General features: G+C 38.0%; 1 protein-coding gene across 15 annotated transcripts in view; it reads right to left on the reverse strand.

Moving 5' to 3' along the window:
• MARCHF8 (membrane associated ring-CH-type finger 8) overlaps positions 1-20110 on the reverse strand; it is a 140323-nt gene that overhangs the window by 70343 nt on the left and 49870 nt on the right. For 12 of the 15 annotated variants that reach the window (XR_007061947.1, NM_145021.6, NM_001401646.1 and 9 more), the window contains one exon: positions 8183-8362. Coding sequence is in view for 14 of the 15 variants with exons in the window: in NM_145021.6 (NP_659458.2) it covers positions 8183-8284 (102 nt within the window). In the remaining variant the exon portion in view is untranslated. Of the gene's footprint in view, positions 1-8182; positions 8363-10174; positions 10244-10283; positions 10445-20110 lie in introns of those variants that run through there. The other 3 variants (NM_001002266.3, NM_001282866.2, XM_011539495.2) reach the window with 2 other exon arrangements.

Here is a 20110-nt window from a genome sequence, read left to right on the forward strand (position 1 = left end):
ACTGGGAGTTTGCCCACATGGCTCTGGAGATACTGCAATGTTAAAATTCAAGAGGTTTTCTCCAAGTTCCTTATATTAGGTTTTTATTATTTAAAAGGGAAGAATTTATCTAATAGAGAAAAGAGAATAATTTTTAAGTAGTAAAAGTGTGGTGATTCTGTCTAAAGATATTGTTATCACTTGAACATTGTGAGGTCATTTTTTCAAAAGATGTTAGGTACAAATGAATACAGTATGATCTATCAATACTCATGTGTTTTTAGAGCAAATACGAAATTGTGTTTACTGACCATCATCCTGATGCTGCATGGTAAAATCCTCCTTTTGACCTCAGTAGCAGGACAACAGGGCCAAAACTAGGACTGTTTATAAATATATAAAATACCACTTTTATTTTCTGTGTAGCTTACTTTAAATATAAGTTGATCATTGAATTACCTTCTTACTTATCACCTTTCAGGAATCCTGGGATACAGATCATTTCTTTCAGGATCCCTTTATCAAGGAGGACAGGGCAGAAAATTGAAAAATGTATTTTTTGGACAATCTTGCAATTTGGGTTCCAGACATGTAGAAGAATTCCAGATAATTCATGTAAAGACTCCACCTTCAAGGAGGGGGAGCACAACTCCCCATTCTTTAAAGTGGGCTATGCCTAGTGACTTCCTTCCAAAGAATGAAGTACAAAAGGGGAGAAAAAGAGTAACTTTATAGTGGAGAGACCTGATAGTCACTATATCAGCCAGGTGGTCAAGAAAATCAGTCATAAATCATGTTGATAGTATACTCGATCTGTTGTGATGAACTGGTACATTGTATCTGTGGACTTCCATCCCAAAACCTATAACCCTAGTCTAGTCATGAGAAAAATATCAGACAATTCCCATAGAAGGACATTCCACAAAATACCTGATCAGTATTCTTCAAAACTGTCAAGGTAATCTAAAACAAGGGAAGTCTGAGAAACTGTCATAGCCAAGAGGAGCCTAAGGAGATACAACAACAAAATGTAATATGCTACATCCTAGAGATGAGATCCTGGAACACAAAAAGGACATTAGTTAAAAAGTAGGGAAATCTGAATAAAGCATGGACTTTAAAACTATAATGTATTCATATTAGTTCACTAACTATGATGAATGCAGCACACTATTTTAAGATGTTAATAATATGAGAAACTGGAAGCTTGGTTCAAGATGGCTAACTAGATGCAGCTAGTACATGCCTCTTCCATGGAAAGCTCCAAAACGGCGAGTAGATATTCACCCTTCAAATAGGTCATCTAAAACAGAACACTGGAATTCAACTGAAAAGCAACAGGAATCACTGATCACAAAGGAGAAGGAAGCAAGGCACGTGCTCAGCCAGGATTGCTGAGAGATGAAAGAAGCTTCTAGATGCTGGGAAAGGGTAGATGAGAGACTCCCAGGGCTCCACATTCCCACCATGGACTTTTGCAACGCTAGCTGTGGGAGACCCCCTTGACCCTCGCAGGTCTCCAGCCTAATAGAGTGAGTTGCCTGGAGATTGACAGAGGCATTGCTCAAACTCACATGGGAGTACACAGGCTTCCGAGCCCTGAGCAGCTGCTGCTACCAGCCAACAAGCCAGGCTGAAGAGAGGAGGCCAGGCACTTTTACACAACCACTGTGCTTCTTGTACAGTCTGCAGAATAGTGAGCCAAATAAAATCTCTTATTTATAAATTACCCAGCCTTGGGCATTCCTTTATAGCACAAGAGGGGACTTCAACACCCCACTGACAGCACTAGACAGACCACTGAGACAGAAAAAAAAAGAAAAAAAAAACCCCACTGGATTTAAATTGGACTGTAGAACAAATAGACCTAACAGATGTTTATATAACAAGCTACCCAACAATCACAGAATATACATTCTTCTTATTAGCATGTGGAACATTTTCCAAGACAGACCTTATCTTAAGGAATGAAGCAAGTCTCAATAAATTTTTAAAAAACTGAAATCATTTCAAGTTGTCTTCTCAGACTACAGTGGAAAAAACCTAAAGTCAATTCCAAGAAGGACTCTCAAATCTATACAAATACATGGAAATTAACCTGCTCTTGAATGATTTTTGGGTCAGTGATGAAATTAAGATGGAAGTTTAAAAATTTTTTAAACAAAAGTAGAGACACAACATACCAAAACCTCTGGAATACAGCAAAAGCTTATAGTGTTGACTGTAAATGGATTCAAGAAAGAAAAGTTTATAGCGTTAAATGCCTAAATCGAAAAAAATAGAAAGACCACAAGTTAACCTGACATAGTACCTCAAGGAACTAGAAAAACAAGAACAAACCAAACCCAGAAGAAAAGAAATGATGAAGAGCAGAACTAAATGAAATCCAGATCATAAAAACCCAAAAGATAAAGAAACAAAAAGTTGCTTCACTGAAAAGATAAACAAAATTGACAGCCTACTAGCTACATTAACCAAGAAGAAAGAAAATTCAAATAAGCACAATCAGAAATGAAAAAGACACTACAAATGATACCACAGAAATACAAAAGATCATCAGAGTCTACCATGAACATCTCTACACTAACGAACTAGAAAACCTAGATGAAACAGGTAAATTCCTAAAGACACACAACCTCTCAAGAATGAACTAAGAAAGAGAAAGCCTGAAGAGACCAATAACCAGTAAGACTTAACCAGTAATAAAAATAAAAAAAAATCTCCCAACAACAAAAAACCCCAGAAGCAGATGAATTCACAGCCAAATTCTACCAGACATAGAAGAATAGGTACCAATCCTATTGACAACACTGTTCCCCCAAATTGAAGAAAATCCTCTCTAACTGAAGCCAGTATCACCCTAACACCAAATCCAAGCAAGGACACACAAAAACAGAAACAGAATCAATCAGTACCCCTAATGAACACAGATGCAAAAACGCTCAAGAAAATACTAGCAAACCAAATCCAACAGCACATCAAAAAACATGGTACACCACAATCAAGTGGGTTATATTCCAGGGATACAAGTAGGGTTTAACATACAAAAATCAATAAATGTGATCTGCCACATAAACAGGATTAAAAACAAAAACCATATTATCTCGATAGATACAGAAAAAGCATTTGATAAAATTCAGCATTCTTTCATGATAAAAACCACTCAACAACTTGGTGTAGTAGGAACATACCTCAAAATAATAAAACCCATATACAAGAATCCCACAGCCAACATCATACTGAATGGGGAAAGGTTGAAAGCATTCCCCTTAAGAAATGGAAGAAGACAAGGATCCCCACTCTTACCACTCCTACTCAACACAGTACTAAAAGTCCTATCGGGCCAGAGCAGTAATGCAATAGAAAGAAAGAAAAGACATCTAAATTGTAAAAGAGGAAGTTAAACTATCTCTGTTTGCTGATATAATTTTATACCTGGAAAACCCTAAGACTCCTCCAAAACACTCGTAAATTTGATAAATTAATTCAGTAGAGTTTCAGGATACAAAATCGACCTACAAAATCAGTAGTATTTCTTTTGTTTAGTTGGGGTTTGTTTCTTTGTTTGTTTTTGAAACGGTCTCACTCTGTTACCCAGGCTGGAGCACAGTGGCGCAGTCATAGCTTAGCGCAGCCTCGACCTCCTGGGCTCAAGTGATCCTCCCACCTCAGCATCCCAAGTCGCTGGGACTTACAGGCACGTGCCACCACACCCAGCTAATTTTTGTATTTTTTGTTGTGAGGAGGAATCAGTAGCATTTCTATACAACAATGATATAATCAAGCTGAGAACCAAATCAAGAACCAAACCAAGAAGTCAATCCCATTTACAATAGCTACAAAAAAATAATAAAATACTCAGAAATACACTCAACCAAGGATGTGAAAGATCTCTACAAGAAAAACTACAAAACGCTGACGAAAGAAATCACATATGACACAAACATGATCATGGGTTAGAAGAATCAGTATCATTAAAATGACCATACTACTCAAAGAAATCTGCAGATGCAATTCCTATAAAAATACTAACATTGTTTTTCACAATATTAGAAAAAACAATCCTAAAATACCCAAGGAACCAGAAAAGAGCCTGAATGGCCAAAGCAATGGTAAGCAAAAAGAACAATACTTGAGGCATCAAATTACTTGACTTCAAATTGTACTATAAGGCTATAACAACCAAAACTATTATAAAAAGAGACACACAGGTCAATGAAACAGCTTACAGAACCCAAATTAAAGACACATGCCTACAGGCAAATGATCTTCTTCAAAGTCAACAAAAACATACACTAGTGGAAGAACACCCTATTCTATACATGATACTTGGGAGAATTGGGTAACCATATACAGTAGAATGACACTGGACCCATATCTCTCACCATATACAAAAATCAACTTAAGATGGATTAAAGACCTGAAAGTATAAAGACCTGAAAGATCTGAAACTATAAAGATTCTAGAAGAAAACCTAGGAAAAACTCTTCTGGACATTGGCCTAAGGCAAAGAATTCATGCCTAGGACCTCAAAAGGAAAGCTACAAAAATGAAAATAGACAAATGGGACTTAATTAAAATAAAAAGCTTCTACACAGCAAATAAATAATCAACAGAGAAAACAGACAATCTACAGAACAGGAGAAAATATCTGCAGACTATGCATCTTACAAAAAGCTAATTTGTAGACTCTACAAAGAACTCAACAAGAAAAAAATAACCTTTTTAAAAAATGGGCAAAGGGCATGAACACATATTTTGCAAAAGATGACATACAAATGGCCAAGAAACATTTAAAAAGTTAGAAATGCAAATAAAAGCGATGAAATACCATTTCACACCAGTCAGAATGGCTATTACTCAGGTGTCAAAAAAATCAATAACAGATGTTGGCAAGGATGCAGATAAAAGGGAATGCTCACAGACTGTTGTTGGGAGTGTAAACTAGTACAGCTGCTATGGAAAACAATATGGAGACTTCTCAAAGAACTAATAGAAATACCATTTGATCCAGTGATCCCACTACTGGGGATCTACGCAAAGGGAAAGAAATCATTATATCAAAAAGATACCTGTACTCAAATATTTATTGCAGGACTACTCACAATAGCAAAGACATAAAATCAATCTAAGTGCCCATCAACGGATGATTGGATAAAGTAATCCACATCATGGAATACTACTCAGCTATAAAAAAAGAATGAATTCATGTTTTTTTGTAGCAACATGGATAGAACTGGAGGTAACTATCTTAAGTGAAATAACTCAGAAAGAGCAAGTCAAATATCACATATTCTCACTTACAGGTGGGAGCTGAAAAATATGTACACAGGGGCATAGAGAGTGGAATAATAACATTGGAGACTCAGAAAGGTGGGAGGATGGGAGTGGGTGAGGGATGAGAAATTACCTCATGGGTGCTTATGTGCACTATTCAGGTGGTGTAACAACACTGCACTTGTACTAAATCTATAAATAATAACAATATGAGAAACTGGGTGTCAGGTATATGAAAATACTCCATCCTAGCTTAACAATTTTTCTGTAAATCTAAAACTAGTCTGAAATAAACTTTTACTTAAAAATGAAACTGGGCCAGGTGCAGTGGCTCACACTTGCAGTCCCAGCAATTTGGGAGGCCAAGATGGGAGGATTGCTTAAGCCCAGGAGTTTGAGACCAGCCTGGGCAATAGCAAGACCCCGACTCTACAAAATGAAAGAAAAACTTATCCAGGCATGGTCTATAGTGCCAGCTACTTGGGAGGTTGAGGCAGGAGGATCATTTGAGCCCAGGAGTTCGTGGCTGCGGTATGCTGTGATCACGCCACTGTATGCTAGCCTGGGCAACAGAGCAAGATCTGTACTCAAAAATAAGTAAAAAATAATAACAAAAATGAAAATAAAACTGACCGAAGTGAGGGAGAAAAGCAAACTCAGAATAGTCACACATGCCAACAATGACAGAAAAGAGGACTAAAACTGTCATTATAGCTGTTATTTCATATACTAAAAAAGTTGCATAGAGACATGGAAGATATAAAAAAGATCCAAAACAAATGTCTAGTGATAAAACATGTCTGAGATGAAAAACACACTAGACGGAATTACTGGCAGATTAGATATTGAAAAAGAAAATATTAATGAAATTATAAACAAAGTAATTGGAATATCCAAAATAAAATGCAGAAAGAAAAAATAACCTTAAAAAATTAAAAGTGCAGCAGTGGACAACTTTAAGCCAGTCAATGTGTATACTGGAGTCCCCAAAGAAAGAATGGGGGGACAGAAAAAGTATCTGAAGAATAGCCAAAAAGCTCCAAATTCTATGAAAATTGTAAACCCACTGATCCACAAGCACAACTTCAGAATACAAGAAACAAATAAAAAATATTTTTTAAATAAAGCTGAAAGAAGTCATTGTCAGCCAACTCACATTATAAGAAATGCTAAAGTCCTTTAGACAAAAGAAAAATGATAGATGGAAATACACCAGAAATGGTAATTATCTGAGTAAACAGATCTTTATTATTATTTAAAAGAAAAGTATTTAAAGAGAAAGTATTTTTTTAAATATATTCTAGGGTTTAAAATTTATTAAAAGACAATAATGAAAAGGCCAGAAGGAAAGAAATGAAAGTATACTATTGTAAGGTTCTCATACTGTATTTGAAATAAAAGATCATCTCCACAGTGACATGACCCATATCACTGAAACTGAATTCATATTCACTCATTCATTCATTCATCAACTGTATTGAGTACTGTATAAAAGTCATTAACCCTCTGTAGAAGTTATGGGCTTCAGCGAGGGTGTGTTAACAGATTAGACTAAGCAAACAGGTGGATTATTTGAGTCTAGGTAAAATGCAAGGGTTCACTCTTCTTATGGGACTCAGTAGGAATAATATCTCCCAAGCACAGGAGGATCAGAAATCATAGCAAAAGATTTTGGGTTGAACCTGTGCCAGGAAAAACTGCATAAATAAAAATGGGCTCCACTGGACAAAAATTTACCTTTCAAATCAAACCTGATACCACAATTGAGACCCTAGAAACACAACCACTATTTTCATCCTGTGCCATTGCTGCTGAAGCTCTCACGGGGCCCTGCAAGTTCCTGGTTCAACTGCTCTTCCACTACTGCCACCTCATCTGGGCTCCACGACACCCTGAACTGTCAGGCTGCCACTGGGTGTTCAAACCATCCCCACACTAAGGTAAGACAGAATGGTTTCTCTTTCTTCCCAATACCAATAAAAATCCCCATTCTACAAATAATTGATTAATGCTATTTATTTAGACCTTAAAAATCCCATCAAATAGATAAATTCAATAAGGCTTTATTAAATAACCACCTACAGTAAACCTGCAGTGAGGGTGTATATCAAAAAGAATCTCCCTTCCTGGCCTAACTGTTGGACATTTTCCTTTTTCTATTCCAAACAAGTTTGTATAGCTTCCCCATGTACACACTATTATGGACTAAATGTTTATGTTTCCCACAAAACTTTTATGCCAGAACTCTAATCCATAATGTAATGGTATTTGGAGGTGGGGCCTTGGGGAGACAATTAGGTCCTAGGGGTGGAACCCTCTCCATGGGATCAGTCCTTCTATATGAACAGCCACATGACAGCTTGCTTCCTTCCTCCCTCTATGCCATGTGAGGACACAGCAAGAAGGCAGCTGTTTATAAGTCAGGAAGTAAGACCTCACCAGAATCCAACCATGCTGGCACCCTGATCTCAGATTTCCAGCCTCCAGAACTGTGAGAAATAAATGCTTGTTATTTAAACCACCCAGGCTATGGCATTTTGTTACAGCAGCTAGGGCAGACTAAGACACATATTAAGAAATTCCAGCCATCTGGTGTCCAAATTTCACACTACGATGAATAGGAAACTAGCAGCATCATGTTCTGAGAATCCAAAGAACTTAGTCACAGTGATTAACCAAAAATAATCAGGTAGATTTAACCAATGAAGATAAGTCATTTATAACCATTTATAAACAGTAGTTTACACCAAAATCTGAAAACCTAGAAATCTACAAAAAGACAATTCCTTCTGAGTACAACTATTTGTGTGCTTGTCAGTATATTATCAGAGAAAACCTGACCTTTAGAGTTTAAGCACTGTTCTAGGTCATCTTTAATAAAAATTTAATAAAAATAATGAAACTAAAAAAGATACTCTCCCAGTACCTGTTCTTCCCTCTCCTTTTCTTTGGTCTTACTTCTGTAGACTCTAGCAGAGATGGCATCCTGGGATGGAATGGCAGAGATCTGATGCAGTGGCATGCTCATCCCAACCTCTTATCTGGTCGTCTTCTTCACAGAAGAGAGTCTCCACTGGTAGAGTCATTTTGGGCCATGGATTTCAAGCTGAGAGAAAATGAAGAGAGAATAAACATAACTCAGCTAAAACACTTTAAATTTCCAAGAGTGAGCTTAACATTTTATACTTATATTCATATGTATATTTAAATAAGTTACGGCAACATAAATGTTTGGTCTTCAAAAACAATAGAAGATGAATGTCTAAGGGGAAAATTCTAACATTTCTCATAATAAGATGGGAGCACCTGAAAGAGGCAGGTGGATCACGTACATGTATAATCAGAGATATAATCTTCCATTGGCTACTTAGGATTAAAACAAAGCAGTGCCACCATTTATTTTAAGAATATTTTTGAAGTTAAACTTTTTTTTTTATCATGACCAAGCATTTGTCCTGAAATAAGCAGTGATCTTTCCTTAAAACCACTGTCTGTGAGTCCACATAATGGTGAGATCAGAGGTTAGGAAGTCCAAATTAAACTCAAGGTATCTATGATCCATACTTAACCTTCCAAAAGTAGAGACTCTACACGAGCTGTTGGCAAACTATTCCTATAAAGGGCAAGATACATATTTTAGGCACTGTGGTCCAAGTGTGTTCCAGCTAATTAACTCTGCCACTGTAGCATGAAAGCACCCATAGAGAGCATGTAAATGGGCCGGGTGCGGTGGCTCATGCCTGTAATCCCAGCACTTTGGGAGGCCAAGGCGGGCAAATCACGAGGTCAGGAGATCGAGACCACCCTGGCTAACACGGTGAAACCCTGTCTCTACTAAAAATACAAAAAATTAGCCAGGCATGGTGGCGGGCGCCTGTAGTCGCAGCTACTCAGGAGGCTGAGGCAGGAGAATGGCACAAACCCAGGAGGCGGAGCTCGCAGTGAGCCAAGATCGCACCACTGCACTCCAGCCTGGGTAACACAGCGAGACTCCAACCCCCCAACCTCCCCCCCACCAAAAAAAAAAGAGTATGTACATGAATGAGCATAGTTATGTTCCAATAAAACTTTATTTACAAAAATAGGCAGCAGGCTAGATTTGGCCCACCAGACTATAGTTTGCCAAACACTGCCGTAAAGGGTTTCCTAGGGAATATGAAGGGTCACCATGACATGCCTAAGAACCATGAGAAAGGCTGCCTTTAGGTAAAATAACAGTGTATGCATAAACTGTCTTCAGTGATTCCAGGTACTCCTGCCCTGTTTCTGGTTTTCTCTTACGCATCCCCCAAAATGTCTAATAATTGAATTGTGTGTTGTTCTTTCTCCCCACTTACCCACTGAGATCTATCCCACTCTGTATACAAAACCAATTAAACGTAAATTATCCAGAAGGTTTAATGTAGTAAAATGTTTCATGTTGTTCAAATTTTAACAGAAAATGGAAGCCTTCAACCAAAAGAATGAATCTCGAATTTGGAGATTTTCATTTATTAACCATGTGCTGGGGTAGGGGGTGGGGACAGGTGAGGCAGTAGGAAAAGGTAGGGTAAACAACAGGGCCTGACAACCCCAAGGTCACATTTGATAAGCAGTCACTTACTCTACCTCTCCCCAAACTCTACTCTGGATCAAAGGCAGGTGTTTGTAAGGCTGGTGCCAATTCTTAGTAGTGTCACTAAGCAAGCAGAGGAGCACCAGGAATCACGAAATGGCTTCCTTCACACAACTCTAGAATCAATGAACAACAAAAAGGAACAAAAACTGGGAGGGATCAACACATAGAAGAAAATTAGCTAAAATAATAATCTGTTTATAAAGTCTAGTTTTACAGTAAGTGAGTGACCATTGATAATAACAACAAAAAAAGGAAAATAGAATAGGGGATGTTAGTGTCTAGGTATCACACACCACCTACTCTATTTCAAGCCTTTGATGAGGCTGGCATAAGATGGAGCACTACTGTGCCCAAGAAACAGTCTGAATGTTTGTATTCAAGCACGTCACACAAAACAAGAGGCACTTACTGCGGAGCTGCCTTATACTCCCTGGGAGATCACAATAGTCAGTGGTAAGCAGTTTTTTCATCACTAATGCACTAACGTCCTCTATTACAGATGACAAACTCCATGGGGCCTCTTGGAATACTTGGTCAAACTGACGATATCCACAGCCCTATACCTACCATGCCAAAAGCTACCTGTGGTGCTTCTGATATAATCATCATTATTACATCATTGGTACATGCCCATGACAAGCCTGAGAAGGGCTATTTATGGCACAGAAACACAGATGCAAGAGGGTCTCAAATTTTTTACAGTTTTGAAGGACATCCCTCCTCACTGTCATTGAAGTTAGTCTTTTGATATGTACCACCACAACAAAGCAACAGACCTATAAGTTTGCCTGAAACAATCTCCCTCCTATGCCACACATATTTAGGATAAAAATGAGTTTACAAACAAACGATAAAACAGGCCATGCCATTTTTTATGTGAAGATTTACATGAAAAATACAAATCATATATTACATTATTTTCTTTGCATAATTTCCAAACATCTTTTATATCAACTAAATTAATCTTTACACAGAATAACAGTTAAACCTCAGCACTATGCCTCACAATCCAGGCATGAGGGCTTCAATTTGACTAATGCTAACTTGCAAAATACAGCCCACCTAACATGAACATTCACATCTAGAAGAGATACTGCCAAAGCTGGTTGTTGAAGAAATTGGAAATGGATGTCCATGTTCATGGATCAGAAGATTTAATATTGTTAAAATGGCAATTCTTCCCAAGTTGACATAGAGAGTCAAAGCAATCTCTATCAAAAACTGAGCTGACTTCTTTACAGAAATTTGACAAGCTGATCTGAAAATTTATATAAAATTCAAGGGACTCAGATCTGCCAAAACAACCTTGAAAAAGAACAAAGTTGGAGAGCTCACATTTCCAGATTGCAAAACTTACAACAAAGGAACAGTAATCAAGACTGTGTCATACTGGAATATGAATAGATATATCAATGGAATAGAATTTAGGGCCCAGAAATAAACCCACGTATCTATAGTCAGCTGATTTTCAAGAAGGGTGCCAAGATCACTTCTTGGGGAAAGAGTACTGTTTTCAACAAATGGTGCTGGGACAACTAGATAGCCACATGCAAAAGAAATTTGGATCTCTTCCTCACACAAAAGGAAAAACAGACAAACTACACATCATCAGAATAAAAACTTTTGTGCTTCAAAAGACACCACTGAGAAAGGGAAAACACAGCCAGTCATAATGGTTCACACCTATAATCCCAGAACTTTGGGAGGCCAAGGCAAGAGAATCTCTTGAGGCCAGAACTCAAGAAAGGCCTGGGCAATATAGCAATACTCTACCTCTATTTATAAATGTTAAAAAAAAAAAAGTCTAAAGACAACTGACAGAAGAAAAAGTTTGCAAATCATATATGTAATAAGGGACTTGTATCTAGAATATATAAACAACTCTCTTACAACTCAGTAACATAAGGGCAAGGCCAGGTGCAAGTAGCTCACGCCTATCATCTCAGCATTTTCGGAGGCTGAGGTGGGAGGACTGCTTCAGGCCAGGAGTTCAAAACCAGTGTGTGAAACATAGCGAGGCCCCATCTCTACCAAAATAATAATAATAATAATAATAATAATAATAATAATAATAATAATAAAGACAAATAACCCAATGAAAAATGGGTTAATCAACATCATTAGCCATCATGGAAATACAAATCAAAACTATTAGATATTACTTTAATTATGTTCATAATAAAAGACAAACAAGTGTTAGCAAGGATGTTGTGACACTGAAACCCTCATATACTGCTAGTGAGGATCTATGCAGTCGTTTTGAAAAATAGTCTGGCTCTTTCTCAAAAGGTTAAACATGTTATCATATGACCCAACAACTTCAATCCTAGGGTATATACACCAAAGAGAAATGCAAACATCTCCTCATATGAAAACTTGTCCATGAATGTTTCTATCACATTACTCATGATAGCCAAAAGGTGGAAATAACCTAAACGTCCATCAAATGATAAACGGATAAATCAAATAAGCTATATCCATTCAACGGAATCATATTCAGCAATAAAAAGAAATAAAGTACTGACACATGCCACAATATGGACGAACCTTTAAAAAGTTATGCTAAGTAGGCCAGGTGTGGTGGTTCGCGCCTATAACACCAGCACTTTGGGGGGCCAAGGTGGGTGAATCGCTTGAGCCCAGGAGTTCCAGACCAGCCTGGGCAACATGGCAAAACCACATCCCTACAAAAAACTCAAAACTTAGCCGGGTGTGGTGGCTCATGCCTGTGGTCCCAGCTACTCAGGAGGCTGAGTTGGGAGGATCGCTTGAGCCCAGAAGGTTGAGGCTACAGTGAGCCGGTATGGCGCCACTGCACTCCAGCCTAGGTGATACAGTGAGACCTTGTCTCAAAAAAAAAAAAAAAGAAAAGAAAAAAATTATACTAAGAAGCCAGTCACAAAGAACCATATATTACATGATGACAGTTGTATGGAATGCCCAGAGGAGATAAATCTATAGAGACAGAAAGTAGAGCAGTGCATGCCAAGAGCTGGGGTAGGAATGGGTAAACGGGAGGAAGCAGTGGATTCAATGATTTATTTTTAGGATAATGAAAATATTCTAAAATTGACTATGGTGCTGGTTGCAGAACTTTCGAGTATATTAAAGCCATAGAAATAGTAAAAGGACTAAGATAGATAGAGAAAATTTTAATTTTTCCTTTGTGTTATCCCTAATCTAACTAATCTAGATGACATGGAGATGGCTACTGTTGCCCTATCTCACTCACCCTTCCAGTTTTAAGAAGGCGATAGAAAGAGTACAAAGGTTGGGTTACCCACAAAGGGAAGCCCATCAGACTAACAGCTGATCTCTCGGCAGAAACTCTACAAGCCAGAAAAGAGTGGGGGCCAATATTCAACATTCTTAAAGAAAAGAATTTTCAACCCAGAATTTCATATCCAGCCAAACTAAGCTTTGTAAGTGAAGGAGAAATAAAATCCTTTACAGACAAGCAAATGCTGAGAGATTTTGTCACCACCAGGCCTGCCCTAAAAGAGCTCCTGAAGGAAGCACTAAACATGGAAAGGAACAACTGGCACCAGCCACTCAAAAACATGCCAAATTGTAAAGACCATCAAGGCTAGGAAGAAACTACATCAACTAACGTGCAAAATAACCAGCTAACATCATAATGACAGGATCAAATTCACACATAACAATATTAACCTTAAAAGTAAATGGACTAAATGCTCCAATTAAAAGACACAGACTGGCAAATTGGATAAAGAGTCAAGACCCATTACTGTGCTGTATTCAGGAAACCCATCTCACGTGTAGAGACACACATAGGCTCAAAATAAAGGGATGGAGGAAGATCTACCAAGCAAACGGAAAACAAAAAAAGGCAGAGGTTGCAATCCTAGTCTCTGATAAAACAGATTTTAAACCAACAAAGATCAAAGGAGACAAAGAAGGCCATTACATAATGGTAAAGGGATCAATTCAACAAGAAGAGCTAACTATCCTAAATATATATGCACCCAATACAGGAGCACCCAGATTCATAAAACAAGTCCTTAGTGACCTACAAAGAGACTTAGACACCCACACAGTAATAATGGGAAAGTTTTAACACCCCACTGTCAACATTAGACAGATCAACGAGACAGAAAGTTAACAAGGATATCCAGGAATTGAACTCAGCTCTGCACCAAGCGGACCTAATAGACATCTACAGAACTCTCCAACCCAAATCAACAGAATATACATTCTTTTCAGCACCACACCTCACCTATTCCAAAATTGACCACATAGTTGGAAGTAAAGCTCTCCTCAGCAAATGTGAAAGAACAGAAATTATAACAAACTGTCTCTCAGACCACAGTGCAATCAAACTAGAACTCAGGATTAAGAAACTCACTCAAAACCACTCAACTACATGGAAACTGAACAACCTGCCCCTGAATGACTACTGGGTACATAAAGAAATGAAGGCAGAAATAAAGATGTTCTTTGAAACCAATGAGAACAAACACACAACATACCAGAATCTCTGGGACACACTCAAAGCAGTGTGTAGAGGGAAATTTATAGCACTAAATGCCCACAAGAGAAAGCAGGAAAGATCTAAAATTGACACCTTAACATCACAATTAAACGAATTAGAGAAGCAAGAGCAAACACATTCAAAAGCTAGCAGAAGGCAAGAAATAACTAAGAGCAAAGCAGAAGTGAAGGAAATAGAGACACAAAAGACCCTTCAAAATAATCAATGAACCCAGGAGCTGGTTTTTTGAAAAGATCAACAAAATTGATAGACCGCTAGCAAGACTAATAAAGAAGAAAAGACAGAAGAATCAAATAGAAGCAATAAAGAATGACAAAGGGGATATCACCACTGATCCCACAGAAATACCAACTACCATCAAAGAATACTATAAACACCTCTATGCAAATAAACTAGAAAATCTAGAAGAAATGGATAAAGTCAATTAGGAAAAGAGGAAGTCAAATTGTTCCTGTTTGCAGATGATATGATTGTATATCTAGAAAACCCCATCGTCTCAGCCCAAAATCTCCTTAAGCTGATAAGCAACTTCAGCAAAGTCTCAGGATACAAAATCAATGTGCAAAAATCACAAGCATTCTTACACTCCAATAACAGACAGAGAGCCAAATCATGAGTGAACTCCCATTCACAATTGTTTCAAGGAGAATAAAATACCTAGGAATCCAACTTACAAGGGATGTGAAGGACCTCTTCAAGGAGAACTACAAACCACTGCTCAATGAAATAAAAGAGGATACAAACAAATGGAAGAACATTCCATGCTCATGGGTAGGAAGAATCAATATCATGAAAATGGCCATACTGCCCAAGGTAATTTATAGATTCAATGCCATCCCCCCATCAAGCTACCAATGACTTTCTTCACAGAATTGGAAAAAGCTACTTTAAAGTTCATATGGAACCAAAAAAGAGCCTGCATTGCCAAGTCAATCCTAAGCCAAAAGAACAAAGCTGGAGGCATCACACTACCTGACTTCAAAGTATACCATAAGGCTTAGCCACAGTAACCAAAACAGCATGGTACTGGTACCAAAACAGAGATATAGACCAATGGAACAGAACAGAGCCCTCAGAAATAATGCCTTATACAAAAATTAATTCAAGATGGATTAAAGACTTACATGTTAGACCTAAAACCATAAAAACCCTAGAAGAAAACCTAGGCAATACCATTCAGGACATAGGCATGGGCAAGGACTTCATGTCTAAAACACCAAAAGGAATGGCAACAAAAGCCAAAATTGACAAATGGGATCTAATTAAACTAAAGAGCTTCTGCACAGCAAAAGAAACTACCATCAAAGTGAACAGGCAACCTACAGAATGGGAGAAAATTTTTGCAATCTACTCAGCTGACAAAGGGCTAATATCCAGAATCTACAATGAACTCAAACAAATTTACAAGAAAAAAACAAACAACCCCATCAAAAAGTGGGCGAAGGACATGAACAGACACTTCTCAAAAGAAGACATTTATGCAGCCAAAAGACACATGAAAAAATGCTCATCATCACTGGCCATCAAAGAAATGCAAATCAAAACCACAATGAGATACCATCTCACACCAGTTACAATGGCGATCATTAAAAAGTCAGGAAACAACAGGTGCTGGAGAGGATGTGGAGAAATAGGAACACTTTTACACTGTTGGTGGGACAGTAAACTAGTTCAACCATTGTGGAAGTCAGTGTGGCGATTCCCCAGGGATCTAGAACTAGAAATACCATTTGACCCAGTGATCCCATTACTTGGTATATACTCAAAGGATTATAAATCATGCTGTTATAAAAGACACATGCACACGTATGTTTATTGCGGCACTATTCACAATAGCAAAGACTTGGAACCAACCCAAATGTCCAACAATGATAGACTGGATTAAGAAAATGTGGCACATATACACCATGGAATACTATGCAGCCATAAAAAAGGATGAATTCATGTCCTTTGTAGGGACATGGATGAAGCTGGAAACCATCATTCTCAGCAAACTATTGCAAGGACAAAAAACCAAACACCACATGTTCTCACTCATAGGTGGGAATTGAACAATGAGAACACATGGACACAGGAAGCGGAACATCACACACCGGGGCCTGTTGCGGGGTGGGGGGCTAGGGGAGGGATAGCATTAGGAGATATACCTAATGTAAATGAAGAGTTAATGGGTGCAGCACACCAACATGGCACATGTATACATATGTAACAAACCTGCACGTTGTGCACATGTACCCTAAAACTTAAAGTATAATAATAATAAAATTTTAAAAAAATGCAAGTGAAAATATAAAGCAATTACTAACAACAACAAAAACTATAGAAGAAAGAAAATGTAATAATTTGGCTTTAAAATGAAACAAATTTCAACACGGACAATGGTATAAACATTACAATCATATAAGCAACACAGATATAACCAAATTGGGAGGATGGGAAGAGGGAACGTTGGGTAAGAAAAGGAAGTCAACAGATAATAGCTAATGTTTATGAACATATTATTTGAAAACATGGAAGCAACTCTCAGAAGATACATGCGGCTGCCTATGGGGAAGATTCTGTCCATTCCAACAACAAGGCTTTGGACTGTGCCAGAGCAAAGGACTACTGTTTTTCATTCTAGGACATTGGGTACACCAAGCTCCTAACCATAGTTCTAAAATTCAGAAAACTACCAAAATTAAAATTTTTTAAAAACCACTCTACCCTTTCTTTACTTATTTAACACTAAAACTTGATTGAACTCCTAGGCCGGGCGCAGTGGCTCATGCCGGTAATCCCAGCACTCTGGGAGGCTGAGGCAGGCAGATCACGAGGTCAGGAAATTGAGACCATCCTGGCTAACACGGTGAAACCCCATCTCTACTAAAAATACAAAAAATTAGCCGGGGCATGGTGGCGGGCACCTGTAGTCCCCAGCTACTTGGTAGGCTGAGGCAGGAGAATGGTGTGAACCTGGGAGGCGAAGCTTGTAGTGAGCCGAGACCGTCCTACCGCACTCCAGCCTGGTGACAGAGCAGGACTTCGTCTCAAAAAAAAAAAAAAAAAAAAAAAAAAGACTTGATTGAACACCCTGGGGCCAAAACCTGACCTGAACTAACAGGAAGCTATTCAAAACTATACTTATGCTACTTAGTGTAAATATTATATATACTTCAATGCAGAAATAGCGCATTTGAGTAAGGGATCTTACTCCAAGCCTCGATGGGAGTATCTGATAATTTATAGTATATGTAGCAGAGTACTGTAGCAGACTACTTTCCTAAAAACCTGAGAATTTCTAAATTCTAAAATATTTCTGATCCAAGAGTTTTGAATAAGAGAGTATGGGCTTACAATTCATTTTTCAAAATGAAATGTATTACTTTTATTACATGTATTTTAGTACACGTATTACTTTTATTTTTTAGATTTTGAAGGTATTCTGAAGAATTCAATGGAGAGAAAGTATAAAAAGAATAACAGGTATGAGACTCATGTGACCTTAAACAGATCAACATCTAATGCCACACACTTTCCAAAAGTGGCATTATTCCTGGATCATTATTTAAGATAATAAATAAAGAGGTTACATTGTCTAATTAGAAATTTGAAAAAGAAGGCAAGAAAACTTCACTTGACTCCTCATTCATATCCCACTACTGTCCCATCTATCCTACTCTTCTAGGAAAAGGTGGTCTACACTCACATTCAACATTTCTTCACTTTCTATACACATTTCAACTAACTACAATCTGGCTTCAGTACAGTAAGGTCTACAATGCTCTCTATATTAAGCCTAAAAATTGTTTTGCAGCCCTCATGTTATTTGACTTGATACTTTTACTCTCTTCCTAGTCTTAAAATACTCTTTTCTTTGACTTAAATGACATAACACCGTCCTAGTGTTCCTCCTGCTCCATCTCCACCTCTGCAGATCTATCCCCTATAGCATGACATTGTACACAGATATTCCTCAAAGTTCCATTTAACCCTCTCTGATTCTCATTCTGTGCTCCCTTTTCCTGGGTGATTTAATCCATAACTTTGGCTTGAATGCCCACCTTTGCAGATGTTATTTAAAAAGAAAATATTGATAAATCAGACTTTATTGAATTTAAAACTTTTGCACTTTAAAAGATACCATTAATAAAACTCAAGATAAGCCACCGACTGGGGGAAAAATACTTGACAATCATATATCTGATAAAAGACTTGTATCTGGCCGGGCACGGTGGCTCATGCCTGTAATCCTAGCACTTTGGGAGGCCGAGGCAGGCGGATCACAAGGTCAGGAGATCGAGACCATCCTGGTCAACATGGTGAAACCCTGTCTTTACTAAAAATACAAAAAATTAGCCGGGCACGGTGGCGGGCGCCTGTAGTCTCAGCTACTCAGGAGGCTGAGGCCGGAGAATGGCGTGAACCCGGGAGGCGGAGCTTGCAGTGAGCCAAGATCGTGCCACTGCACTCCAGCCTGGGTGACAGAGTGAGACTCCGTCTCAAAAAAAAAAAAAAAAAAAAAAAGACTTGTATCTAGAATAAAGAACTCCTACGTTAAGACAAACAACATAATTTTAAAATAAGCAAAATACATTAACAGACATTTCATCAAAGAAAATATATGAGAGCCAGGCTCTCATATGTGCCTGTAGTCCTAGCTATTCGGGAAGCTGAGGCAAGAGGGTCGTTTGAGCCCATGTGTTCGAGGCTACAGTGAGCTATGATCACAACACTGTACTCCATTCTGGGCAACAGCATGAGACCCCGTCTCTAAAAAATAAAATAAAATAATGAAGACATATGAATAGCTAATAAACTCATGAAAAGATGCTAAAAATTAAAACCACAATGATATACCACTATACCCCCACTAGAATGGCTACAACCAAAAACACTAGAATGGCTCCAATCAAAAAGACAGTCAATACTAATTGTTTGATATAGAAAAAATTAGATCTCTCATGTATTGCTGGTGAGAATATAAATTGGTATAGATACTTGGAAAATAGTCTGGCAGTTTCCTAAAAAGTTAAACATAAACTTATCCTATGACCCAGGAACTGCAGTCCTTGGAATTCATCCAAGAGATATGAAAACATACGTCCACACAAAGACACATACATGAATGTGCATAGCAGCATTCCTCATAATAGCCCAAAACTGGAAATATTCCAAATGTCCACCAACTAAAGAATAGATAAAAATGTGGCTTATCTATACAATGAAATTCTATTCAGCAATTAAAAGGAAAAAACCAATCATATACACTACAACATGGATGAACCTCAAAGATTATGCAAATTGAAACAAGTCAGACACAAAAGTCTATATATTATACAATTCCGTTTTTATAAAGTGTCTTGAGAAGGCAGATCAGTGATTGCCTCATGTTGGGTGTAGTTGTGGGTACTATCTGCAAATGGGCAAGAGGGAACTTTGGGGGCAAAGGAAATGTCTCTAACTGGATTACAATGACACTGCACTACTTCAAATTTATTAATCACTGAATTGTACACTTATAATAGGTGAATTTTATGGTGCCTAAATTACACCTCAAGATGCTCATTTAATACAGCTTACAAGGCCCTATGTTATCTATCCCACCTCATTTTGTACTACCCCTCTCTCTATAGTCCAGCAACAGCAGTGTTCCTTCAGTCCCCTCAGACCTCCCAGCACCTTACCATCACAGCCTATATATATGGTATTCTCTGCCTGCAACACTCTTCCTTCCCCTTTTG

This window comes from Homo sapiens, chromosome 10 (assembly GCF_000001405.40).
Source record: "Homo sapiens chromosome 10, GRCh38.p14 Primary Assembly".
Lineage (NCBI taxonomy): Eukaryota > Metazoa > Chordata > Mammalia > Primates > Hominidae > Homo > Homo sapiens.